Consider the following 27,344-nt stretch of genomic DNA (forward strand, 5'->3'; position numbering starts at 1 on the left):
TTGAGCTAGACACACAGTGCTGATTGGTGCATTTACAATCCTTTAGACATAAAAGTTCTCCCAAGTCCCCACCAGATTAGCTAGATACAGAGTGCTGATTGGTGCATCCACGAACCCCGAGCTAGACACAGAGTGCTGATTGGTGCATATACAATCCTCCGGCTAGACATAAAAGTTCTCCAAGTCCCCACCGGACTCAGGAGCCGAGCGGGCTTCTGCTAGTGGATCCCGCAACGTCTCACAACGTTGTTGTTCAGGCTGGTCTCAAACTCCTGAACTCAAACAATCCTCTCACCATGATGTCTCAAGTAGCTAAGATTACAGACATGCACCACCATGCTCAGCAAATTTGACTGTTACCTTTCTCTCCTCTGATTTCTCAGAAGGTCAGATAAACAACTTGATTTCTTTTTTTGTGTTTTTTTTGTTTTTGTTTTTTGAGACGGAGTCTCGCTCTGTTGCCCAGGCTGGAGTGCAGTGGCGCGATTTCAGCTCACTGCAACCTCCACCTCCTGGGTTCAAGCGATTCTCCTACCTCAGCCTCCCGAGTAGCTGGGACTACAAGTGCCCACCACCACTCCCGGCTAATTTCTTTTTGTATTTTTAGGAGAGGCGGGGTTTCACCGTGTTAGCCAGGATGGTCTCGATCTCCTGACCTCGTGATCCACCCGCCTCGGCCTCCCAAAGTGCTGGGATTACAGGCGTGAGCCACGGTGCCTGGCCAAACAACTTGATTTCACTTGGTGGTGTGGAACTTCAGCATGAGTAATTCCATGTTGGTCTGGTGTGTTGGCCTCATTGCAGGAGCTCAGTCCAAACCAATGACCTCCTATAAAATTTTTTAACAGGACAAATGCTGGCTTGGTGCATGGCTTGGAGCAGTGGTGCACCTTGCATTGTCATCCACGCCCATGGAAACTGCGAAGATGGAGTTCTAATAGAACACAGGTAGTTATTGGCTCAACAGAGCACTTACACTCCTTACAGAGATGATTTTGTTACGTACCAGGCATGAAACCTGAGGGTGACTGTGGGTGATGGAGAAGTGGAAGTGAGAGGTGACAACGTGCTGGCAGCCCTCGCTCACTCTCAGCGCCTTCTCTGCCTCGGCGTCCGGTCTGGCCATGCTTGAGGAGCCCTTCAGCCCTCCACTGCGCTGTGGGGGCCCCTCTCTGGGCTGGCCGAGGCCGGAGCCGGCTCCCTCTGCTTGCAGGGAGGTGTGGAGGGAGAGGCCGCAGGCGGGAACTGGGGCTGCGCACAGCGATGGCAGGCCAGCATGTGTTCCGAGTGGGAGTGGGCTCAGTGGCACTCGGAGCAGCTGGCCAGCGTGGCTGGGCCCTGGCAGTGAGGGGCTTAGCACCCGGGCCAGCAGCTGCGGAGGGGGCGCCGGGTACCCCAGCACTGCCGGCCTGCCTGCCCCACGCTCGAATTCTCGCAGCGCCTCAGCCGCCTCCCCGCCGGGCAGGGCTAGGGACCTGCAGCCCGCCTTGCCTGAGTCCACCCGCGGTGGGCTCCCAGCGGCCAAGCCTCCCTGACGAGAGCCGCCCCTGCTCCGCAGCACCAGGTCCCATTGACCACCCAAGGACTGAGGAGTGCAGGCGCTCGGCACAGGACTTGGCAGGCAGCTCCATCCGCTATCTCAAGGGAAAAAAAATTAAATAGCCAAATCCCCAAACAAGTTAATTTTAGCTAGGATTAAGGAGGTCCTCTCTGCTTTAATCTTTACAAGGAAAGCAACTGAAAAGAACAATCCACATTCTGTTCTCTGTTTCTGCTTTCCCCAGCCCTTATTCTTTCTATAAAGCCAACCTCCTCTGCTTAGCTCTATGGAACACTCATTCTATTTTAAAGAATGAGGTGTTGTCCGATTATAAATCACAAAAGCTAATTAAGATGTTTAACTAAATTTGATATAATTTTTTTTTTGTCTTTTGACAGCCCTTCCTCTGACGTGCACAGGATATGAAAATGTCTGATAGTGTTGTGGCTGCAGTGAGACCTGGGAGTGGCAGTTTCTTTCACTGCAGTTGTCTGTCCAAAGCGAAGTGAACTAGCAAGTCTCTTACAAAAGGGCAAGCTCTGAACTGCGCACAGTGTGAGCACAGACACAGTGGGGCTAATCTACAGGGGCAGTGTTAGCAGCAATGGGTTGTCCAAGATTTCTGAGAGGATTAGCACCTAGAAAATAATCTTATTTTGCTTTGTGGTGTCAGACAAAGGAACTGAATGAGAAAATTATTGAAGGGCATATTGTAGCTGATATGCAGATCCAAGGCTGACTTTCTTCCTCTCCCTTGAATCCACTTATCACAAAAATATGGAATGAGCAGAACTTATGGGCATAACCATAAACCAATTTTCCTTTGTTTCCTACTGTCTCTTTAAAGTTTTCTCAGTGGGAGAAATCTTCTGTGTCCTTGGATGAAGACTTACTCAGTAAATTACTTTATGATCACTGATAGGTAATAAAAGATCCTATGGTCATTTAAAAATAAACCATAGAATTTTAATTCAGAAATTATTATCCTAGTTCCATATAATAATCTAGACTCCAAACTTGATTTAAAGGTAAATTTTCTCTACCTTCCTAAGTTAGAGCTTCCTGCAGTCTTTCCCTTCTATCTCTCCTCCTGCCTACTAACCTGTTTTCTGACCTGTTACATTTTATTTGCCCTGATAAATTGGGTGAACAGGGTGATTACTAAGCAGCTGCTTCAACTTGTCAGAGGACAGTTGACCAGCCTGGGTCTCACCCTTTGTATTCCCTGTCATACCTCAATCCACTTTGTTTCTCCCATTGTAGATGGTACTTATGCTATTGGAGTCCCCCTGACGTTCTCTCTCTTGACTTGAGATGAAGGGAATACACCTTATACATTGCACCTCTACTTCCATCCCACTAGCAGCTTTCTACAAATAAGTCTTGTCTAAATAAGTTTCCTCTGATGCCCCACAACCCAATTCTTTTTTATTCTCAAGGTCAATGAGGGGTATAGTGAAACCTGACACATAACTGGTTTTTGGTTATTTTCTTGGAAAATTTTTCATTTTTGTTTAACACCTCACTTGAGTACCTGGCTAATCAAAATGTGGGCCCGGGATGGGCAGCATTGGCATCACCTGGGAGCTTGTTAGAAAAGCTCAGGCCCCAGCCCAGACCTACAAAATCAAAATCTGCATTTTAGGGAGCTCTCCAGGTGATTCGCATGCACATTACATTTTGAGAAGCCCTGCTTTTGAAGTCCTTTCAACTGTTTCTTGGTGTCTCAATCTTCCTATTTACTTTCCTGTTACACATTTAGAGTCCAATGTCCTAATGTAGCTTTGTGGGTTCTATTTTCAGAAAGGAGGAGTGCCAGTGTCTGTCCTTTGCAATTGCAGATCTCAAACTATTTATAAACCTATTAATAACTTAAATGTCTTTTTACTGAATTCAAATGTTCTATTGTCACATCAAGTTCAGTATATCCTACGTCAAATCCAGCATTTTCCCCCAAATCCGACACCTATTCTAACTCCTTTTACCCATTCTTTGATATCTAATAATGGACAGTCTTCTCCAAGACTATTTCCTTGACCACTGAAGCACAGGGTGATCACTCAACTCTTGTACCGTGCCAGCCTTTAGCACTTATGACAGCCTCTTTTTTATTTATGTTTATACTGGCTTGAACTAACATTTAATTTTTCATTCATTCAGCATTTCTTGGGCACTTTCTATGTTCCAACCAATGTTTAAACAGCTGTTAAAGAACAAAACAAATTAGTCTTCTGTCCTCTTGAAAGTTACATTTTCAGGGGGAGAAAGATACAAAAAATAGATAAATATGTAATTTCATACCACAATGACGGCTTTCAAATTGATAATGTCAGGCTCAACCTCTCCTTTTAATTGTAATTCATGTAACCAGTGTCTGCTCAATATCTTTACTTAAATATCTAGTATGCACCTCAAACTTACTGTATCCAAAACCGAATTCTTGATTTTCACTTCAACACCCTCTTTTCCTAATGCTCTCCATCTCAATGTACAACATCACCATCTCCACAAAAATCCTCTTTCTTTCATACCCCACTTTTAATCCATCAGAAAATCCCTATAATTCTACTTTCAAAACATACCCAAATTATTGCTACTTCTCTCCACTTCCTCTGCAACAGCTCTGTGGAGGTCTCCAATGTCTCCTCTGGACTGCTATACCAGCCACCTGACAGCCATCCTGCCTCCCTCATCCCTCTACTACAGTACGTACTCTACCAGTACTCTGAGCCATCTTTCACAGAGTTAGTTTGAGCATTCCCTAGCTCAAAACTCTCCCATTGCTTCCTGTTGCACTGAGAATTAAATCTAAAGACTTCACAGAGTCCCTCAAGGCCCTACAGACTCTTGGTCCCCATGCTGCCCCTCTGACTCACCTCCTCCCTACCACTCTTGCCTTCCTTTCTCATCCCCGTCACTTTGGCCCACTTGATGTTCTTTGAACACACACATCTGGCTATCTCCCCAAGTCTTTGCAATTGCTTAAACCACTCTTCCCAGATACCCAGAAGACTTGCTTTCTCATTTTCTTAAATTATCTCTGTATTCAAATATCACCCCCTCAAGAGGTCTATCCTGACTTTCTCTCTCACCTTCTCCTTTTCTTTATGATATTTAGCCATAATTCGCCCCCCATACACATGCATTTGTTTATTCATCTGTTGGTTTATTGTCTGTCTCCTCACTAAAATGTAATTACTCCAAAATGTAATTTCCACAATAGCAATAAATTTATCTTTTTATTTTAACTACTGCCTGCCCAGCACCCAGAACAGTCGTTGAAAAGAGCAGACATTCAATAAATATTTGCTGAGTAAATGAACATTAACTAAATTACCTAAGTTTGCAAATTATTACTTTAATTATAGACCAAATTGATTGCTCTTATAATAATGTCACTGTCACTAACTCACTTTTTAATATGCTTCCTCAAATAGAATTACGGCTGGGAACTTAATATCACAAGGGTATCAGAGCAGAGCGGTGTCATGCATGTGAATATCTTCCATCATTTGTGTGGCAACAGAAGTCAAGTTTGACAGCAGTTTCTCTAAAACACAATTTCTAGTTTCACTATGTAGATATGTTTTTCCGGAGGTACTGGTGACAAGGCAGGGACCACGTCCTCAAGAAGCTGTCCTAGGACCTCCGAGAAAGAGCTGGGAAGCTGCTGCTTCCTACATTCACTGAGGAATGCATACCGCTGGCTCCTCTCCTGCAGCTGGGTCATTATACAGAAATCTGGAGCAGGGGCTTTGGCTCAGATCACATCCCTCAATGTTTGATGGTAATGTCCTCTCTATCTGGCACTAGTTGTTAATCATGACTGCACTTCGGACTCACATGGAAGCTTTTAAGAAATAGCAGTGTCCAGCCACATCCCCAGGGACTCTAATTTAATTGCTCTGAATGAGCCTAGGCCTTTCTGTTTCTTAAAAAGCTCTCCTGGTTATTTTAATATGCAGTCAGGGAGCAAACCACTGGTCTATAAGCAGGGTAGAGCACACATTCTGGGCAGTCTAATACTAGGCACTTGGGAATGAGACCTGGGCACTGGGGCTGGTCTCAGCCTTTGAAGAACACACAGCCCTATGGAGGGCTTCACAGCTGTGTGCTCATGTCCAAATTATAACACTTTGGGGTTTACAGCTCTAGAGATGGGAAAAATTTAGGGAGATTTAAGAAAAAAATGTATGAAAAGATTTGAAGAGTTTAAAATATAAAATATATGAGGCAAAAGTCAAAAGTTAGATTTATTTAACCTGAAGATGTAGAGTTAAGTAATTTTCTGACCGTTTATAAGTGTATGCACATCTCCCACATTAAGAAAAACCTGGCACACAAAAATCCAAATGTGTGTAATAGAGACACAAAAGACAATATTTACACCTGCACTACACAAACACAAATACATACACATATAGAGTAATTACAGGCAGAGATTTGTGTTGTGTTTGCCATAGGCTGGATGCTGCTCTGATCTCTGGGTAAAGCTCATTTAACCCTTATAACAACCCTACAAAATAGATACGAGTATTATTCTGATTTTAGAGTAAGGAATCGGAGGCTCTCAATGGTTAAGTAACTTGCTTTTGTTACTGTTTGGGTCTGGGATTTAAACTTAAGCAGACTGGCTGCAGAGTTCCTGTGCTCTTAACTATCATTTGGTACTGTATGTATGTATATACACATGTGTATTTGTCAGAGTTCTCCAGAGAAATGGGCTAATATATACTAAGATATTTATTGTAAGAAATTGGCCCACGAGATTGTGAAGGCTGACAAGTCCCAAGATCTGTAGGTTGAATCAGCAAGCTGGAGACCCAGAAGAGTCAATGGTTTAGCTCCAGTCCAAGTCCAAAGGCCTGAGAACCAAGAGACCAGATGGTACACTGGACCAGCAGGCTTAAGGCCCAGGAAGAGCTGATATTTCAGTCAAAGTCCTAAGGCAGGAAAAAAAGCTGATGTCCTAGTGTGAAGGCTATCAGGCAGGAAAAATTCTCTTACTCAGGGGAGGATCAGCCCTTTTGTTTTATTTGGGCCTGCAACTGATTGGATGAGGCCCACCCACATTAGGGAGAGCACTCTGGTTTACTCAGTCTACCAATTCAAATGTTAATTTTACCCAAAAATACCCTCAAAGAAACAACCAGAACAATGTTTGGCCAAATGTCTGGGCATCGTGTGGCCCAGTCAAGTTGACACATAAAATTAATCATAGTATATATTGTATATATATGTAAGAATATATGTGCACACACAGACACACATATATATGTGCAGATAATGTTTTAAAAAACATACATATTTTGCTTTACAAAAAGATGCACGTTTTCTTTAAACAATAAGCATACTTATTAAAATGCTAACTCATAATATTGGAGCTCACAAATAAGTAAGCAAGAATTTTAAAGAGAAAAATATTTGTTATCATGTGATAACCTATTACAAATCCTTTGCAGTGAAAATGTTTTTGAGACAGATTAATGGGAAGGCACAAGTAGTTCAATGGAAAGTCTTGTACATTTGTTCTGGGTTATTTTAGCATGTGATGAATAAATACAGTGAAAAATGTGTTCTTGTGGGATTTTCCTGCTGGACAAAAAACAAAAGTAAAAGGTTTGTTTTTAAATATTAAGGACCTAAAATTCAATGACTCAGTGTTTCATTGTTCTGTAATTGGTTAATTGGCAGTAGGAGAAGAGTACAGGGGTGGATGGGCATATTCCTGCCTGCACAAGAACAAGACCATTAAAAAGCTGAGTAAGTTTTGATTTGTTTTGCTTTGCCTGTTGCTTTTCTAATGAATTAGTCCCGGTGTTTAAAGGATTGCCTAGTAAAGTCATTGAAACATCATTTTTTTCAAATATTATCTAAAATTTCCTTGGAACTAAGGTTTTATGCAATGATCTATTAAATAATGAATACGCACATGGTAATAGAAAATTAAAATATCCCTTTAATTCCTACTGATTCACTTAAGAGAAAATTCAGAAACCTTCTCATATAGAATTGCAATTCCTTATTATGTTATATATTTATAAGTTGATAATGAAAAGGCAACTTTAATCAAAAGTTAATTTAAAAACTCACAACATAATCATTTGGTTTATTCAATTAAATAGTACTGAATTTCAAGAGTGTGTAGTAATAATGAACAAATATAAATTGAGGAAAAGAAGTGAAAGTCTCAGAAGCTTTAGAGTGATGAATAAGAAGGCTGATACTGGTTACATTGGCCTTTGTTTTCTATTGTACTAAAGTTGCAGTTAATGAAATATTTGAGTAGCAAAGATAAGAGACAAAGATGCTTCACAAAATACTGGTAATAAAACTCTTCTTCTAAAAAGACAGCTACCCAATATGCTTGATACTTATCGAGGACCTATATTTTTTAAAAAACAGAAGCCCAGCAGAGTCATCGTTTCTCTAGGCTCACATTCTCCTTTGTCTAGTAGGATGTGTGTTATGAATATAAATGAACTTTTGAGACTTAGTTATAAAGATCTCTGGCACATCACTAAGCATTTTAGTCCTCTCTGTTAGCTGGTTTCCTGTGGGCTGTGTCTGTTATCTTTCCTCTCATGCCGCATCCAGTCTCTACTGTGATTAGGCTCTTGAGGACAGGGGATATTTCTTCCTGAAGTTTGTACCTGCCTATCCTGGCCAAGGTTTCTGCTCTAAATTCTTTCCTATTTCCTTACCTTGGTGAGATGGGCTATAAGTCTAGGACTCCTACTTTTATCTTTCTTGACAAATACCTAGAGCAGGTGCAGCTCTAGCTGCTCATCTCACACTCCTTCTGGCGTAGAAGATCTGCCTGGATCTTCTTATCAGAGGCAACTTTCTAAAGATTTTATCAGCCAAGAAGAGAAAGTTTGGCAAGCCATTACAAGAAGGGAACTAGAAACTTCTTCAAGGTACAGAACTTGTCTTCTTTATTTTTACACTTCCAGAGCCACAAAGTGCCTGGAAATCAGGTGTTCAATGAATATTGGTTGCACTGAATATGGATTCCTCTTCTCTTCCCCCTCCCAACTTCGTCCTCAGGATCAGTGGACTCATTGTGGGTTTCTTATGAAATTACCATAAAAATAGTTTACATATAATGTCTAACATGTGATTTCAGATTAACAAAACTCCCAAAATTTAGATGCCCTGACTCAAAAAAAATTTTTGTTTAGAAGTAACATATGGTATGTAGTTTGGGATATAAGGTGTGATCAGAAATAAATAAGTTTTCAGACTATATATTAGTCAAAAACTGGCAATTACCAAAATGGCCTTCAATAGTTGAGTGAATAAATTGCAGTATGGTCATGCGATGGAGTACCATACAGCAACAAGAATGATCAGTCTATGACTACACACAAAAATAATGAATGAATCTCACAAATGAAATGTTAAGAGAATAAAGCCATGTGCAAGAGAGTATATTGTATGAGTTCATTTGTACAAAATATAAAAACAGGCTAAATTGATCTATGCTATTAGAAATCATAACAGTGGTTACCCTACAGGCAGTGGTCCTCAACTGGGGATGACTTTTTTTCCAGGAAATATTGGGCCTATCTCTTTATCTGGAGAGAGATTTTTGTTGTACCATTGATAGGACTGCTACTGGTAGCCAGTGGGTAGAGGCCAGGAATGCTGCTAAACATCCAACAATGCACAGGACAGCCCTCCACAGCAAATAATTGTCCAACCCAAAATGTCAGTGGTGCTGGGCTGAGAAACCCTACCCTAGAGGAATAATGGTAGAAAGTGGGCACAAAGAAGATTCTAGGAGCTGGTAATATTCTGTTTTTTGATCTGTGTGCTTATTACATGTGTATTCAATTATAAAATTTATCAAGCTGTACACATATGATATGTATACATTTTATCTTATATTATCCTTCAACAATAAGTTTTACAAGTTTTTAAAAGCTACCTATGCTTTAGAAAACCTTTATTTAATAAAAATATGCCCTAGGACTCAATCAAGGGGTATATTAAGTAGCTATCAGCTTACATTGACCAAAGCCATCCAGACTTAGCGGAAAACAGAAAAGAAAAACATATTATGGAAAACTCTAAAGGTTTAATGATAAAACACAAAATAAACCTTTCACTCATCAAATATTATACAGAATATCAGGATTTGGGGTATATACTTATCACTTTAAAATGGCAACAACTTCAAAAAAAAGCATCAAGTGCTAATAAAAAAATGCATGAATGTTTTATTTACCAGAAAATCCTTGTTGACATGTAGAAAGGAATCTGGCCAAGTAACTTAGAATCAGAATTTGTTATGTCAGCATCTGCAGAAACTAGAAACATGAGAGCTACTTTAAAAATGCCTTAGTGCCATCCACAGCCTCCTGCTGCAACTTTTCTGTTCAGCCTGCACTTCTGCAGCATCTTTTGCTCTGTGATGAATTCCTGTGCTCTGTAAAATGTGCAAGGTTTTTTCATAGCATGAATTTCCATTGACAGCATATTTTGAATGGGGAAGTCTCTTGTGGCTATCCTGTCCCAGTCTCACACTTGTTTGTTGGGTACATTGAGGGCACATAACTTGTTTTTTTAGTTCATAGGTCTCTAATCGTGGGAAACCTCGTATGGCAGAATGCAGGTCCAAAAGTCCTGGACTCTGATCCAGATAAACGGAAGTCTCAGGAAGAAGTAAGTGTATTTTGCATGTAGGAGGGACATGAATAATTGTAGCCAGAAAATGGACTATGGTAGATTATTTATTAAAAAATGACCAAAATTATTTCCTTTCCTATATCTAGACCTCCATGCAATGTGACTTTGCAGCTCCTCCCATATGGAGATGGGGTCTATTTCCCTACCCCTTTAAATCAGGGCTGGCTTTGTGACCTGTTTCAACTAACAGAATGTGGAGAAACTGACACCATGACAGTTCTGAGCCTGGGCCTCAAGAGGCCTTGCACGCTTCCACTCACTTTTTTGGAACCATGCTTCTGCTGTGTGAATAAGCCTGGACTTGTCTGCTGGATAAGAAGAGATTCCATGGAAGTCAGACAAGCCATCCTAGACCAGCCAGGCCCAGCTAATCTAGGGGGCTGCCCACAGATGTATGAAGTGAGTCCAGACAAGATCAGGAAAACCATTCACGTGTGCTATGCTCATATTGGCATCCTGCAAAATCATGAACTAAATGATTTGCAGAGATTTCTTACACATCATTTACCTTTGTTCTCAGGCAAGATTACTGTAAGCAGATTCAGCTTTTATTCTATTTGTGGCAAATAGAACAAAAATTTTACCAGTAGCTACTCTTTCTCAGTGGTTCAATGAATATTCCTGAACTAAATCGTAAACCTAATTTCTCAGGTTACCTCTTGAGAGTAGTCACTTTACTGTGACTGAAGCAGTCACTCTAACCTGGGTGTTAGATGCTGTGATGGCTGCACCTGGGTCCTTCCCAGGAGCTGGGGTGATGGGGTGTGTTATGAGAAAGTGATGATTCCCAACAGGTGAAAAAATAATGACTGCCCCACACAGTATGCTCTGCATCTCACTGCCTCTCATGTGAGAATTCAGCTCGTGTGATGTTTTTAATTGGTTGGTTGTCCATTGCTCTGTAGATGCTGTCATCACCATAGATACCAGGGCCAGTCATCCGTTGATTGTTCTATTTGCATGATTTGAAATATGAAAGATCATTAGGAAAAAAGTCTATTTAAGATAAATTTGGCATTTTTGATACTTTAGTGTTGAGATTTCTAGATAACTTTTTTCTTACAATATTTTATCCTTGATGCATACCAGATCTTCTTTCTCCTGAAATGAAGGAAGGATGTTAATATGGTCTGGATCTGTGACCCCACCCACATCTCACCTTGAATTGTAATCTGAATTTCAATCCCCACATGTTGTAGGAGGGACCTCATGGGAGGGGATTAGATCATTGGGGCAGTCCCCCCATGCTGTTCTCATGATAGTGAGTGAGGTCTCATGAAATCTGATGGTTTTATAAGGGGCATCCCCCTTCGCTTGGCACTCATTCTTTCTCCTGCTGCCCTGTGATGAGGTATCTTCTGCCATAATTGTAAGTTCCCTGAGGCCTCCCCAGCCATGAGGAACTGTGAGTCAATTAAACCTCTTTTCTTTATAAGTTACCCAGTCACAGGTATTTCTTCATAGCAGTGTGAGAAGGAACTAATACAGATGTGCTGGTCAATTTTATGCTGTTACATAATATGGAACAATACACGTTATAGTAAATACTTCCATTTTGTGGAAAGTAGAAGGGCATCAAGCACAAAAATGAAGAAAGATCTTGTTAAATGCTTGAATAATAAATACAGAGAAAATTGGCAATGTTCAAAGAATACTATTTCCTTTAATATTATTCAATAAACTCTGTCTCCTAGCCTTTTGATTTCCTCAGGCTGACTTGTCTGACTTGTGGATGTGCTTGACTTGAATTCACTTATCCTCAAAAATAATGAAGACTAAGTTGTAGGCATTGTGTATGAGTGGGCAATCCAGTGAAAAGAGCTAGTGAGTAACTTTCCAGCAGGTGAAGATTGTGTATATACCTTCTGTAAAAATGCTGGTTTTATGATTGGTGATTAATTGAATAATCTCTGTGAGCAAACACTCAGGAATCAAAAAATGGATTATGATACATCCACATACAGATACAGGAATAATCTGCAGCTGATAAAATAATATTTCTAAGGAATATCAATTGAAATGGGAAAGCATACATACTATTTTGCTAGGTAGAAAGTATTTCTACAGATATATCATGTCATTATTTTCCTAATGTGTATGTGTGTGTGTATACACACATATATCACAAAATATTACCAGTTGAGTCCCCAAAGGCAGACAATTTTGAGTGCATTTTTCTCTCTCTTGCTTCCTTTTATTTTCCAGGCTCCCAGCATTAGAATATGTTGCTTCTGAAATTATAATAATAAAATATAAACATGCAAAATGTATTAAGAGGGTTTTGTACCACCACAGAGAAAGTAATGCTAACAAAATATTTTGCTACCAGAAAAAAATTTCCCTAAATCCTCATGATGTATTTTTCTTGTATAAATTTTGGTATCCACTTTTCAGTCTGATGGGGATATTCTTTTGAGGGCTGTCAGATCTAAGCTAAAGTAAATAATTACTGACATCTATAGAGTACACCCTATATGCTGGGCCCTGTTCTAAGTATTTCTTATGCTTTAACTCATGTAATGCTCACAATACCCTATGGGGTGGTAACTACTGGTTTTATCTATTTTACAGATAAAGAAATTGGGACACAGAGAATGTAAATGGAGATGCAGTGGAATCAGACTCCAGAGTTCCCACTCAAAAACTTTTCTCTCTCTCCTATCTTGTGAGGAAGGACATTTTAGGTATTACTTCATCTAGAAAGGAATGGCTCTTCAGCGAGGCAAGCAGAACTGGGAATGCAGAGCCCAGGTAGGCAGGAGAAGGCTTTGACCTTCTTCTCTTTGTCTATTCATGGAGAAATTCACCTTGGGCTTTTGGGACAGTATCTAACGTATAGAAGCAAGAATGGAGAGACTCCAGCAAGCTCTTTGCCTTATGAGGTCCCTTTCATAAGGGGTGGAATACAATTTAAATGAGCTAATTGATATTTCAGGGTATGATTGCCTATAAAATATGGGTTGTGCACTAAAATGAAGAGGACTTTGCTTTCGTAAGATTAAGAATCACTGAGTTAGATAAAGTTAGACAAGTCTGTTGCAGGACTTCTCAGAGCCTTCATTACGCTTACACACATTTTAGTCTCTATGGAGTGAATACGGTACATACTGTTTCTCAACTTCTTTCAACCACAAAACACCTTTCTCATGGAGTATCTTCTAATAGCTCCCCAAGTTATTGTTCTGTGGAACAAAGTTTGGAAACATTAGTCTCAAATAATAATACTCTCTATATTATTTCCATTCCCCCCAGCCTTCAGTGATTATTTTTAACATCCAAGCCTTACTTCAGGTGTCCTCTGAAGACATAAGAAAATGATTTGTATCTTTGTTTGGACATATTTATTAGAGGAAGGGTTGCTAAATTTGGCTTGTTACAAAGCAAAACCTAATCCATGAAGTGTTTTTGGTATGGTAAGGACTTGGAGACTCTTCTGATGACCTAAGGCCACTTTAGCTATTAATAATTTGGCAGAACCTCTGAGTCTTAGCCAAATTCCACATCCTGGCCCAGAGAAACCACTTCACATCCCCTATGGAAACATTGCCTAGTCCCTCCCAACAGTGGTCCCTGTAGGCTTGCTGGCTCTCAATTCTCAGTCCCTTCCACATTCTTTCACAGAGACTATAGGGGACTTATGGATTCCTTCTATGCTGTGTAAAAGAAAAGGGAGTATCAGGGTACCATCACCTATTCTTTCTCACTGTATATATGCCACAATTTTATTCTTACTTGGTGGCAGTTTCTCCATGTTGCCACAGGGAAACTAAGTAAGGCTACCTCCTTCCAAAGTTCCAAGTAGGATGTGGAATTAAATGAAGACCACCTAAATGAGAATGAGAAGAGGCTACTCAGAGCTTGTGATAGCTAGGGAGTCAGCCACTAGCATTTGCATTTGGCAAACATGACAAGACAGGTAGGGGGGTAGGAAAGCTTTATGGCGGAAAAAAGGGAAGACTTCAGATGTACCCTGATTGGCATGGGGAAACTGTAGGTAGGCTAACTAGAAGTGGGACATCCCATGAGATTGGTTTGGGAATCATATTTGGCTTTCCATAATTAGCTCTTAGTTGAAAACAGGGGCAAAAAGTAGAGAAGTTGGCAGTCATTAATCAGGTGCAAGTTGTTCCAGGCAGATTGCTGCAGAAGTTGTGGTTTGGCTACCTGGGTAGTTCCTGTAGAGTTTGTGGGTCAGAGTTCTGTCGTCATATATGGTCTGGCCATTGTCCATTTGTAAATTCAGTGTCTTGATTTCCCTCCTGGTTATTCTTTCATTTGTAAGAACCTGAAAAATTCAGAAAAGGCTAGAGATTCAGATTTTCACTGCTCAGAGACTGTTCAGTTGTCTCCATGGTCAACTGTATTGCAAGATTTTGTGGGCATCTTGTTGTATCATCATGGCAATCATCTTGATGAGACAGCAGCTACAGAATAGCATTTTAGAATCTGGACAAACTACAACAGACTAGTATCCTGTTCACTGTGACAAAAACAAGAACAATTAGGAGTCCCTATAAGATACTTTGAAACCAGAAATCCAAATTGCCCAAACTAGACCAAGTAAGCAAATCCCAAGTCTAAATTCAGGGTCTTCCAGTTACCATATCATAGGGGGATAAATGTGTCCCTTGGGAAGTAGGCCGTATGGCCATAAACTTCTATAGTTTTATTTTTTTGTGTGTTTACATGATGGAATTATGGTTCAATCTGTTTTTATTGAGAAATGTTTTAGGTATGGCATTTAGGAGACTTTGCTCTGGTTTTAGGGCCTTTTTTGACTCACACATTTATTGTGGAAAGAGGGATTCTGTAGATCCCTTTCTTGGTCAATTCAATTAGCTATTGTCATTCAGGATTTAGTATTTAGCTGAGGGTTTGACCAACAAATGTACAAACTGATATAGTTCAGCTGTTCCACTCTGACACATATGCACCCAAAGGAAGTCTGAATCCTTCTGTGAATAATCCTTGTCCTTGTCTGTGCTTAAGGAAATCCTGAAACATAGCTCTTAGTTCAGCTTGTATCTGAGGTTTAACTTATGCAATTGCTTACACACCTGGCTCAGGGATGGGATGGATCTTTAGAAGCAAATTGCATTTTGGGGTCTTGAAAGGGGGAAGAAGAAGGGAGAGTTGAAATAAGGGTAAAAGGAGAGAGATCAGAAAGATAAGAAGGAAAAGGGAGAGCTAGATACAGGGAGGCAACTGGAGGACAAGGAGGGAGAAGATTTACCAGGGAAATGAGTCTATTGATAGTTTTTTCATTGCTTACATTTGTAATGTTGTTTATTACTTTTGGCCAAAGAATGCTTTAGTAAAACAATTTTCAAATCAGAATTTCATTTAGAAGTCTCTACATACCAATCAAAAAGTGTTGCCCATGGAGCCTGATAAATACTATTCTCTTTCTTTTCTAAGGCATTTCTCAAATAAACAATTTTGTTCAAGTCAAATGTCCCTTATAGTGGCCATTCAAGGCCCAAATTATCATTGGTGAAGTTATACCACTTAGAGAAAGAAATAAAAGAATTATACAGCAGGAGTTTCTTCTGAAGGAAGAAAGGATTTAGACTTAAATGACTCACAAGAGCAGGCAACAGTCAGTTGAAAGCAATGCTTATGTACTTTGCATCTGAGACTCCCACCTGTTGCTTGGCTGCCTCTGAACGCAGACCTGATGGTCAGCACCTATACACAGGCAGAAAATCAAAGAGAACATGCACCAAGGAGAACATTCTCTCTGGATCAAAGCTAGGCTCTCAGAACAACAACAACAAAAATGATGGAAGGAGAACCTCATCCAGTTTTATTGGTGACTTGGCAAAATACTTTGTCCACATGGGGACTGGTTTGGTGAGAACTACAAACTCATTGGTCTGTGAAACCGGCTCTAACAATAGGCTTGTAGGGTCTATGCCAGTGTTCTACCTTGTGATTTGCCTTTATATGACAGACAACACTTTTAGACAACCCTACATAAAACAGAAGCACCAAAGAGAGTAAAAAGGGATAAAAAAAGAACTCCATCCTCTGTGTTGTTGAATTCCTCAGCTATTTATTCTCAGTTTGGTGCCTGGATTTTATTATTAGTTCCCATTTGTTTGGCATCCTTGGTGGAATCAGGCCATTCTTTTTCATCACTGTGTTTTGAAAGTTCCCAGCTCAATTGTTGTTCCAGTATCAGAGTGTCTAGCAGCCCTGTCCTAACGGGAAATGAAGGGGAGCTGGACGTTTACAGTGGGCTTTTCACAGGATGCCCTAATGCCTAGTTATCCAACCTGTGACCAGAGGTCCCTCACATGGGGAACTTGTTTATACTGGCAAACGCCCTTGTGGCTCCTATCTGACCCAGTTTATGCCCGCCTGACCATCGCTCTGGCATTGGGAACCCAATCTTGTGATCTCTTTGGCATTCCGGGAAAACCCTAACTAGGACAGCCCCTAGTTCTTCAGATGGAAGGTAACAAATTCAATACACTGCCACAACAGGAAACAAGTTCAAAGGTTTTTTTTTTACTTACAGATCCTGGGCGGGGTGGGTGCAATGAGTTGGGAGGGTAGTCCTCTCTCTGTACCTGGGGTCACACGAGGCAGGTATGAAGAGTCACGCAGAGAGAGAGAGAGAGAGAGAGAGAGAGAGAGAAATATGTAACAACTATTAGCATGTATAAGGGAATAGGGTGTGTGGGTTACTTTGAGTTTACAGTTAAATGCCTGAAAGTTCTCTTTAAAGGAAGCTGCAGGAAAGTAGAAGCCCAGTCTGCTAGGTGGTAGAGATGCCTCTACGGTCTTATCTCTGGCCATTGGCTTGAGCCATTTTGCTGTGGCATAGAACTGGAAACTGTTTTGGGTGAGTGAGCCCTGCTTCTGACATGAGAAAGTAAAACTTATATGCAAAGTGGATGATGAGGAAAATAAAATTATGAGAATTAACCATACCCTAGGTCATAGATGAAAGAGAAATCTTCAGATTTCTCTGGAGGTTGCTGGCATGGGAAGCTGGCGGTGGGCATCCTAAGTGATTGATCAGTGTAGCATATTTGGCATTCCCTGGTCCTGAATTGGAAGAGGGGGACAAAAAATAGGGAAGCTGGCAGTCATTGACCATTCCGGGCTTAGTGCTCCAGGGGTTGTGGGTCAGAATTCTTGTCATAGGTGGTCTGACCATTATCATTTGTATATTCAGTCTCTCAGGGTCTCAATGCTACTAGCCCACTCTGTTTTCAGTGGTTGCTTCAAATGCTACGTTGTTTCCATTTTCTCACTACCCTTCCACATTTCCTGTTTAAATCCTCTGGGATACAAGAGAGCGTCAGTGGATCCTTGGAAGAAGCAAATAATGTCTTTTTCTCCTCACATTCCTTCCAAATTATTCTATTGCTCTCCTGAATGAAAGAATACTTCTCTCTTTTCTTCCTGTATAATAGAAGCTTCCTCCACATTATATCCCTTTCTTCCTGACTCTTGGATTACTATGTTCCAGATCCACTTTTTTTTTTTTCTCCTACTGTCATAATCCTGTTGGCTCTCTCTTAATGGTGGCGGTGGTAGTGGTAAAGGAGGGGTTACCAAGAGGAGAAATATCACTAATGAGCTGGAATATCATTGCAACCAGCATAGAAATTCTTTACCTCTCAAAGAAATTTTAAAATACATACAAATTCAGGTCATCTGATTAAACAAAATGTGAATATTCAGTGTGCATGAAAGCCTCTGAATGTGTTTGAATTGTAAATGTTTGTGGATGAGCATTTTCTCTGGTGTCTTCATTTCTTCAGTAAGTATTTATTGGGCACTTCCTGTGTTCTAGCTTCTGTCCAGAGCACTTGGAGATATCAGTGAGCAACATAAAGACCCCTGCCCTCATGCAGCTTACATTCTAGTGAGGAAGACACACAACAAATTGTAAGCAGAGTAAGAAAGTTTAGTGTGTTAAAGGGTGATAAGTGCAATGGAATAAGGAAAATGCAGAGCTAGGGGTGGAGGATCAGGAGTGGAGGGGTAGCGGGCAGGTTCATCTGACTTTTTCTTTGGTGATGCCTGACTTTGCCTCTTTAATAGCAAACTTACTGCTAATACCCAGTGAATAAGATCATGACAATTAAAGTCTCCCACAGGATTCGAGGATTGTTATGAAAAAGAGGCACACTCACACGCAGGGCCCTGGTTGAATTTCTGGGCATTCCTGCTAATTTTATTAATCCTCAGCACAGCTGTAGGTGAGTCAGCTGCCACGGATCTCAACCAGTTCAGGATTCAGAGAAGCATTGTAATCTTATTTGGTTATAGAGGTTATTAACCAAGCCTAGGCTTTGTTGTAAGAACCTGATTAATAGTAAGAAAAATTGTAAGAGGAGAGAGTCACACATCAAGATTATGTAAGTCAGTAATCATGTTTCCTTCTGTAAAATAATATTTTTATTATCAGAATCTCTCAGCAGCATCAGGGACCCTTATTGGATACCCTAGTCAGTGAATGACAAGATTCGATTATATTTCTGCATTGTCGTTCCAAGATAGAATCAACTTTACTAAAGAAAGCAGCAAAGATTTTAAAAAGCCAATATTTAGTAGGGAAGGAATAGTTGTATAATAAAATATTAATTGTTCTAAAAAGACTCAGAGAAAAATGCCATACTTACCAGAAACAGTATTTTCCCTCCACATTTCTATTTTTATTTCTATTTAGTCCAAAATGATCTGCTTTATCAACTCAAGATAGACATATGATCATATTTTTATTTTTAAAATTAATTACTGCTGAAGAGAAGAACATTCAGAGTTTACCTTTTGAAGCTTAGTCCAGTGGCGTGCATCCTGTTTTTTCACACAGCAAGCAGAATGCATTGAACTATGTTTCCTATTTATCTGCTGCTTCATGGTGGGGCTGTTGAAGACTGGCCTTGTGTGGTTTGGATAGCCCTTGCTGGTCTGGACCACAGTGGATCCCTGTGTTGAGGGCCAAGGTCACAGCTCTGTTTGATCACATTCCCATGCTTAAGCACTGTTCCTGGGAGACTTGCAGCCACACTCTCGGGTTCTGGGCTCCCTCTCTTTCTTCCCACTCCAATTGCAAACACCTCAGTCCTCATGTGGAGCCTATTCACAAGCTTAGCTTCCTCATTTCTCAAAGTAACTTTATTTTAGTGATCTCCTTGCCCTTCTCTGCACTGGACCTTTATTTGGTCAGGGTCACTCTGTCCAGTTGTGTAGCTGTTTGCTGCATACAGGTGTCTGGCTGGGAGGACAAATGGAGGCTGAAATTCAGCTCATCCTCCACTTGCCAAGTGCATGCCCCTGAGTTGAGCCCACCACCTTCTAATATATCCAGCCAGAGGGTAAAATGGCCCTCATTCATAGAGAAGTGCTAGTAGGAACACTAAGTGGAGTCATTCTGCTCCTCACCAACTGGTTTTCATAACTTTAAATTTCAGGTAGCAAGGTTGGGGCATCTACCCACTCTTCATATAAATTGAACCATCTCCTCTTTACGGACCAGCTTTCAAATCTGGTAGAGATGGCCTCCATCTGATTAAAAAGGTTTTGTTTCACGAGAATTCCTCTTGCCTTTTTTACCCCAAGACTCAAGAGCCAAATACAGTGAGTGCGTACTCACCTTGCTTTTTATATAACTAATGTTCCCTTAAGGTATCTGCCCAGATCCCCTTCATCAGGCAGGCACCCCCAACCCCAGGTGCTATGAGTGTTGGTTGCTAATGATGCTCAGTTGCCCCTTTCTTTGGAGAGTTATCTTCTCGGGGAGCAGGAGCTACTTCATTCAGGAGGATCTCATCCTGATCACCCCAAATGTAGACAATGCTACTAGCCTGCTCTGGTATAAGAATGCTAAGGGCTGGTCCCACTTGCTTCAAGATGCAATTAGTTCTATGGTGAAATTCATACTCCAGAGAAATAACTCCATGGTATCAATCCAGAGGCTAGTTTCCAGTGAGACCACATTCTTGCTCACTCAGATCCTTCCCCTGCCTCATCCTGCTCCCATCATTCCCGTTCTCCCGAGAGCATCTACTCAATAAATCCTGTGCTGGTGAATCCCTGTCTCAGGCTCTGCTTCTCAGCACCTGACCTAGAATAACAAGTAAAGAAGTCTCCTCATAGCTCTTGGAGAAAAATCTGATTTGTTTGGGGATAGCTTTCTTTCCCTGTTCCTCCTGAGAACACCATTTTCTTTCTTTTTTTATTTAACTTTTATTTTAGGTTCAGGGGTACGTGTGCAAGTTTGTTACATAGCTAAATTGCATATCATGTGGGTTTGGTGTATAGATTGTTTCATCACCCAGGTAATCAGCATACTACTTGATAGGTAGTCTTTTGATCCTCAGTGTCCTCCCACCCTCCCCACCCTCCCCACCCTCAAGTATGCCAGGTGTCTGTTGTTCCCTTATTTATGCCCATGTGTGCTCATTGTTTAGCTCCCACTTATAAGTGAGAACATGTGGTATTTGGTTTTCTGTTCCTGCATTAGTTCATTCAAGATGATGGCCTCCAGCTCCATCTATGTTGCTGCAAATAACATGATCTCATTCTGTTTCATGGCTGTGTAGTGTTCCATGGTGCATATGTACCACATTTTCTTTATCCTTTCTACTGTTGATGGGCATTTAGGTTGATTCCATGACTTTGCTATAGTGACTAGTGCTGCAATGAACATATGTGTGCATGTGTCTTTATGGTAGAATGATTTATATTTGTTTGGGTATATACCCAATAGCAGGATTGCTGAGTCAAATGGTATTTCTGTTTTAAGTTCTTTGAGAAATTGCCACACTGCTTTCCACAGTGGCTGAACTAATTTACATTCCCGCCAGCAGTGTATAAACATTCCCCTTTCTCTGAAACCTCATCGGCATCTGTTGTTTTTTGACTTTATAATAATAGGCATTCTCACTGGTATGAGATGATATCTCACTGCAGTTTTGATTTGTATTTCTCTAATGATTAGTGAGATTGAGCATTCTTTTTTTTTTTTTTTTTTTTTTTTTTTTGTGATGGAGTCTTACTCTGTCGCCCAGGCTGGAGTGCAGTGGTGTGATATCGGCTCACTGCAACCTCCACCTCCAAGGTTCCAGCAATTCCCTTGTCTCAGCCTCCCAAGTAGCTGGGATTACAGGCACTTACCACCATGCCTGGCTACTTTTTGTACTTTTAGTAGAGATGGGGTTTCGTCATGTTGGCCAGGTTGGTCTTAAACTTTTGACCTCAAGTGATCCGCCTGCCTCGGCCTCCCAAAGTGCTGGGATTACAGGCATGAGCCACCATGCCCTGCCTGAGCCTTTATATGTTTGTTGGCCATGTGTGTGTCTTTTTATGAAAAGTATCTCTTCATGTACTTTGCCCACTTTTAAATAGGGTTATTTCCTTTCTGTTTGTTAATTTTCTTTAGTTCCCTATAGATTCTGGATATTAAACCTTAGTCAGTTGTGCAGTTTGCAAATATTTTCTCCATTCTGTAGGTTGTCTGTTTACTCTGTTTATAGAAACACTATTTTCTTAAGAAAAGAAAGAATGCCATGCCCTGCTAAGTGTTTTGTTTTGTTCCACATAGATATATATGTAGATATAGGCATATATAAGTAACAAAGCAAAATACTTTGTTTTGTAAGGGAACAAGTAGTTTTTATACATATAAGTACTTTTTTCCTCACAAATACAAGCCTATAGTATATCCTATTTTATAATTCATCCCTCAACTCCCACCTTGAACCTGGCCAACTTACTTTAGACTATGGTCAACTTTCCGCATATTAGTACATACAGATTCACCTTTCTAGTAACTGTATGGAATTCCTTATTTTAACCTGTTGCCAATTCAGACTTGAAAGTGTTTGCATTTTTCAGTATTATAATTTATGCAGAAAAGGTCATGTGCAAACATTTTTGTACCTCGTGCTAGTATTTTGGTAGCACAGAGTTCTAGAAATACAATGTATGGCTCAAACAGTTTGTATGTCTTAAACTAAGTAGAACTCCAAAAATCTCCCACCAATAGAATTTGAGAATACTTATTTCCCCATATTTTTACCAATGTAAATATTTTCAATCTTCTTTCCTTTTAAAATTATAATTAACAAAATGTGTTTTAATTTTCACTTTGTGCATTATTGGCAAGGTTGAGCATCTTTTCTAAGTTTGTGGATTACCTGTGCTTTACCTCTGTGTGTGGACTAGTCACACCCTTTGCTCATTTTTTACTGGCTGTTTTGTCAAGCTGATATATCTTAAGCTGTTCCAATTCTCAGGGTATATATGACATCCCTCCCTGGCTTCCAGTGCTGCTCCTCATTTACTCTTACTTTTATCCTTTTATTATGTGACAAGGATTTAGGGAGGAAAGTGTAGTTGGCACTGCTGGTGCCGTTCCAGATGCCCTTTCCTGGGGTTGTGCCCCTTTCCCAGCTGGTCTAAGTGTTGGCACCTAATGGCTCATGACTGCCTCTTTCAGATAATTGCTTTCAGCTAAACAGAAGCCACCTTGCATGGGAGAATGTGCTCCAACCAGGGGCAGCAGGTAGATCATGACTGATTTACTGGGATTACAAAGGCCAGCCCCTTGCCTCAAAGGGGGATAACTGTGTGGCATAATTCATCCTTTGAAGCTCCCCATGGGCTCAGGCTGAAGCTGATCCCTTTTCAGACCACTTCCCCTTTTTTTATGCTTCTCTCCCTTCATTTTTCCTTTAAGCACCTACTCAATAATTCACATGTCCCCAGATTCCTGTCTCAGACTCTGTTCCTGAAGAACCTAACCTAAAACAGGCAGTGATATAAATGCATGAGCTCAGAGAAACATCTAATATAAACATCAGGAACCATTTCTTTTTGTGTGGACAATACAAAGTGGTGTACTTGTATGACAAAATTGAATGTTTTAGTCAGTGCTGACTTAATTATCTAGCCTCATTAAAAAACAGAAATAGATTTGTGTGTAAAAAAGCCATGACAGGATGTCATGTTGAGGTTATATAAGGCCCAAATCTGCCTAATATTTGCAGGATGGTAGAGAAAGAACCATTTGATATTCAGAGATCTTATCTAGGCTTTATATGGTAGTCAGAAAGGCAACCTGCCCAGGAGGACATCAGAAGCCACAGACCTGCTGTGTACTCTGCACTCTGGAACTTTTCTGTACCTTGAGGACAAAAATTTTTACAGATCTCATATCTAGTCTTTACTATATTATAGTTGTCACAATATTCCTGGATATTTTTGTGCATGACATGCTTTCTGCATGTGTAGTTGATATGAGGCCAGGGTGAGAATTATCTTCTTTCACAAATATTAGTTGAAAACCTTGCTCACTATAAAGAAGTTTCAAACTATAGACTTGAATACAGTATTATAAGATGTACAATATACCATATTATTATGGCGCTGGATGTACCTCTTCCAATTTCAAGTGGAGAAATGTATTCATTTTTAATTCACCTTTAAAAACGTTTTTAAATTATGAAATACTTAAAGATTCACAGGAAGTTACACGAAAATGTACAGGAAGGTCCCATGCAAACTTTCACCAAGCCTCCTCTAATGTTAACATCTTGCATAACCATAATATAATATCAAAACAAAGCAATTAACATTGGTAAAAGCCACAGAGCTTATTCAGATTTCAACAGTTACATATGCACCCACTAGTATGTGCGTGTATATAGTTCTACACAATTTTATCACATATGTGGCTTCATGTAACTACCACCACAATCAAGAGATGGAACTGTACTGTTACTGAGAGGTGAAGCTGGCTTGGCTTCTGGGTCTGGTGGGGACTTGGATAACTTTTCTGTCTAGCTAAAGGATTGTAAATGCACCAATCAGCGCTCTGTGTCTAGCTGAAGGTTTGTAAACAGACCAATCAGCACTTTGTAAAATGGACCAATCAGCACTCTGTAAAATGGACCAATCAGCATTCTGTAAAATGGACCAATCAGCAGGATGTGGGCGGGGCCAAATAAGGGAATAAAAGCTGGCTACCCCACAGCCAGCAGCAGCAACCGGCTGGGTGTGAGGGTTTGTTCTTTCACTCTTCACAGTAAATCTTGCTGCTGCTCACTCTTTGGGTCTGCACTACATTTATGAACTGTAACACTCCCTGTGAAGGTTTGCAGCTTCACTTCTGAAGTCAAGCGATACCATGAACCCACCAGAAGGAAGAAACTCTGGACACATCTGAAGGAATAAACTCCGGACACACCTTCTTTAAGAGCTGTAACACTCACTGCGAGGGTCGGCGGCTTCATTCTTGAAGTCAGTGAGACCAAGAACCCACCGGAAGGAACCAATTCTGGACACATTACCACAGGACCTCTCGGTCTAGTCTTTTATAGGCATACCTGCTTCTTGTTCCACCCACCCCCATACCCAATACCTGGTAACCACTAGTCTGCTTTCCATCTCCATAATGTCATTATTTCAAGAATGTTATATAAATGGAACGAGATAGCATATAGGCTTCTTAGTTTGCCTGTTGAAAATACAGCACGATGCCCTTAAGATCCATCCAAGTTGTTGTATTATCAATAGTTTGTCTTATATGTGAGTAGTATTCCACAGTATGGAGATTCCTCAGTTTAACTATTTACTTTTGTGTAGTTTCTAGTTTTTCCATTATGAATAAAGCTGCTATGAACATTCTTGTGCAAACTTCTGCATGAATAGAAGTTTTCATTTCTCTAGGATAGATGTCCAAGGGTTCAATTGCTGGATTGTATGGTTAGTCTGATCTTAGTTTTAAAAGAAATGGTGAAACTATATGCTGGAGTGGTTGCATCATTTTACCTTCCCACCAGCAATGTATAAATGACACAATTTCTCTGCCTCCTTGCCAGCATTTGGTGTTGTCACTGTTTTTTTTTTTACACATTTTGGTAGGTGGGTGTGTATTGATATCTCATTATAACTCTGATTTGGATTTACTTAATGGCTAATGATAGTGAACATCTTTTCATGTGCTTATTTCCCAGCAATATTTGGTGAAATATCTCTTCATTTTTTTCCTATATTTTCTAATTGGATTGATTGGGTGGAGTATCTCTTCATTTTTCTCCCATTTTCTAATTGGTTTGTTTCCTGTTGAATGTTAAGACTTCCTATGTGGAATGCTTGTACACTGTTGGGAGTGTAAATTAGTTCAACTATTGTGAAAGATGGTGCAGCAATTCCTGAAAGAATTAAAACCAGAAATACCATTCAACCCAGCAATTCCATTACTGGGTGCATACCCCAAGGGATATAAATTGTTCTATCATAAAGACACATGCACTCATATGTTCATTGCAACACTATTCACAATAGCCAAAACATGGAATCAACCTAAATGTCCATCAGTGATGGACTGGATAAAGAAAATGTGGTACATATATACCGTGGAATACTATGCAGCCATGAAAAAGAGATTATGTCTTTTGCAGGAACATGGATGGAGCTGGAGGTCATTATCCTTAGCAAATCGATGTAGGAACAGAAAACCAAGTACTGCATGTTCTCATAAGTGGAAGCTAAATGATGGGGAGACATGGACAAAGAGAGGGGGACCACATACACTGGGGCCTACTGGAGGGTAGAGAGGGGAGGAAGAAAAGGATCAGGAAAAATAACTAATGGGTACTAGGTTTAATAGCTGGGTGATGAAGTAATCTGTATAACAAACCCCCATCACACAAGTTTATCTATATAACAAACGTGTACCCCTGAGCTTAAAAGTTAAAAAAGAGTTCCATGTGTATTGGAAATACAAGTCCTTTGTCAGTTACATGATATGAAAATATTTTCTTCCAGAATGTCATTTGTCTTTTTGTCTTCTTAATAGGGTCTTTCACAAAACAAACATTTTAAATTATGATGGGGTCCAACTTATAAATTTTTCTTTTCACTTACTTTTTAGTCAACAAATAATTATTGAATATCAACAATTTATTAAGATATTGTTCCAGGCACCCTGTAGAGATCACGGATGTGACATAGCTTTAACTTCGGGCACTTAGAGTCTAGCAGGGGAGATTGGAGATCTATGCAAATAACTAATAATACATAGCAAGTGCTAAGTGACATGGAAGAGGTCGAGATACATTTTTGGCTGATAAGGAAGCAGTGAGTGAAAGTTTTATTTCACCACTTATGCGCCAGAAATGTCACAAAATAGCATAGAATCTTCATTTATAAACTCATTTTCCAGGTTGAAAATGATAGTTTTTAAATAAGTAACATATAATAAATCTCATGTACAAAATGATTCCACATACATTGTATCAATAACAATCTTACAGGGTGGTGGAGAGGATTACAACATATTTTATATGTGAAAAAATCTTGGATTCAGCCAAGTTAAGCAACTTGCCCAAGGTCATGCAGCCAGGAAGTGGTGAGTTCAGACTGGCACCTCAGTCTTGTGATTAATGCTCTTTTAATTCTACCCAGAATCCTCCTGAGACATGTCCTTTTCTTGCTAGTATAAACTCATCAGTCTTCTGGCTAAGAAATGAATTGTCTGATTCGCATTTTAAAAGAAGACGTGGTACGGTTCCTTGTGCACACAAATGTCAAAGAGCTCTTATTGATAAAGGAGGAATCCATTAATGCTCTTACGGTGGTCAAGATCATGCAGAAAATGGAAAAACAAGCGCTGCCTGTGAGTCATGAAGTGATGCTATGGTTGGATTCAATGACATTTTGCTGGAGACTGCTCAGGATGGGGGAATTGAGAACATGGTATTTTAGGTCATCTGTGCCAGACACACTGTTATCCAAAATCATCTTCAGATGCCAAACCTTTCACAGAGAACATTAAAAAGCAGTCAGTATTAGCGCTGGTGAAGAAAGGTGGGCCTGTTTCTAACCCAAAGGACTACCTACCAATAGGAAACTGGGGCTCATTTTCATTCCTCTGTCTCTGGGCTTCCATCTGTACTTCCTGCCTTATTTGTGACCTTGCTCGAATCACTTAACTATTCTGTATTTATTTGTCTTTCTTTTAAAGTGTTTATAACTTAGGTAAGATGTTAGGACTTTGATTCTGAGAGTCTGTAAAGAAGTGGATTGACTAAGTCAGCTTTGCAAACATCTGCATAATGCCAAATAAACTTTGAACCCAGCA

The 27,344-nt window shown here is 40.2% G+C and overlaps 1 long non-coding RNA gene across 6 annotated transcripts; it reads left to right on the forward strand.

Annotated features, from left to right (window-relative positions):
* Positions 1-129: 129 nt before the first annotated feature.
* Positions 130-27,344, forward strand: LOC105377039 (uncharacterized). 6 transcript variants are annotated; one of them, XR_007095873.1, is made up of 9 exons: positions 130-386; positions 849-948; positions 1,939-2,095; positions 4,978-5,327; positions 7,235-7,303; positions 10,116-10,210; positions 12,806-12,985; positions 24,353-26,612; positions 26,701-27,344. It is a non-coding gene; the product is annotated as an uncharacterized LOC105377039 (long non-coding RNA). The 6 variants fall into 6 exon arrangements; XR_940753.2 differs by lacking the exon at positions 130-386 and having other exon boundaries at positions 681-948; XR_007095874.1 differs by lacking the exons at positions 130-386; positions 849-948 and adding an exon at positions 1,007-1,058.

The sequence above is a fragment of the Homo sapiens genome, chromosome 3 (genome assembly GCF_000001405.40).
Source record: "Homo sapiens chromosome 3, GRCh38.p14 Primary Assembly".
Lineage (NCBI taxonomy): Eukaryota > Metazoa > Chordata > Mammalia > Primates > Hominidae > Homo > Homo sapiens.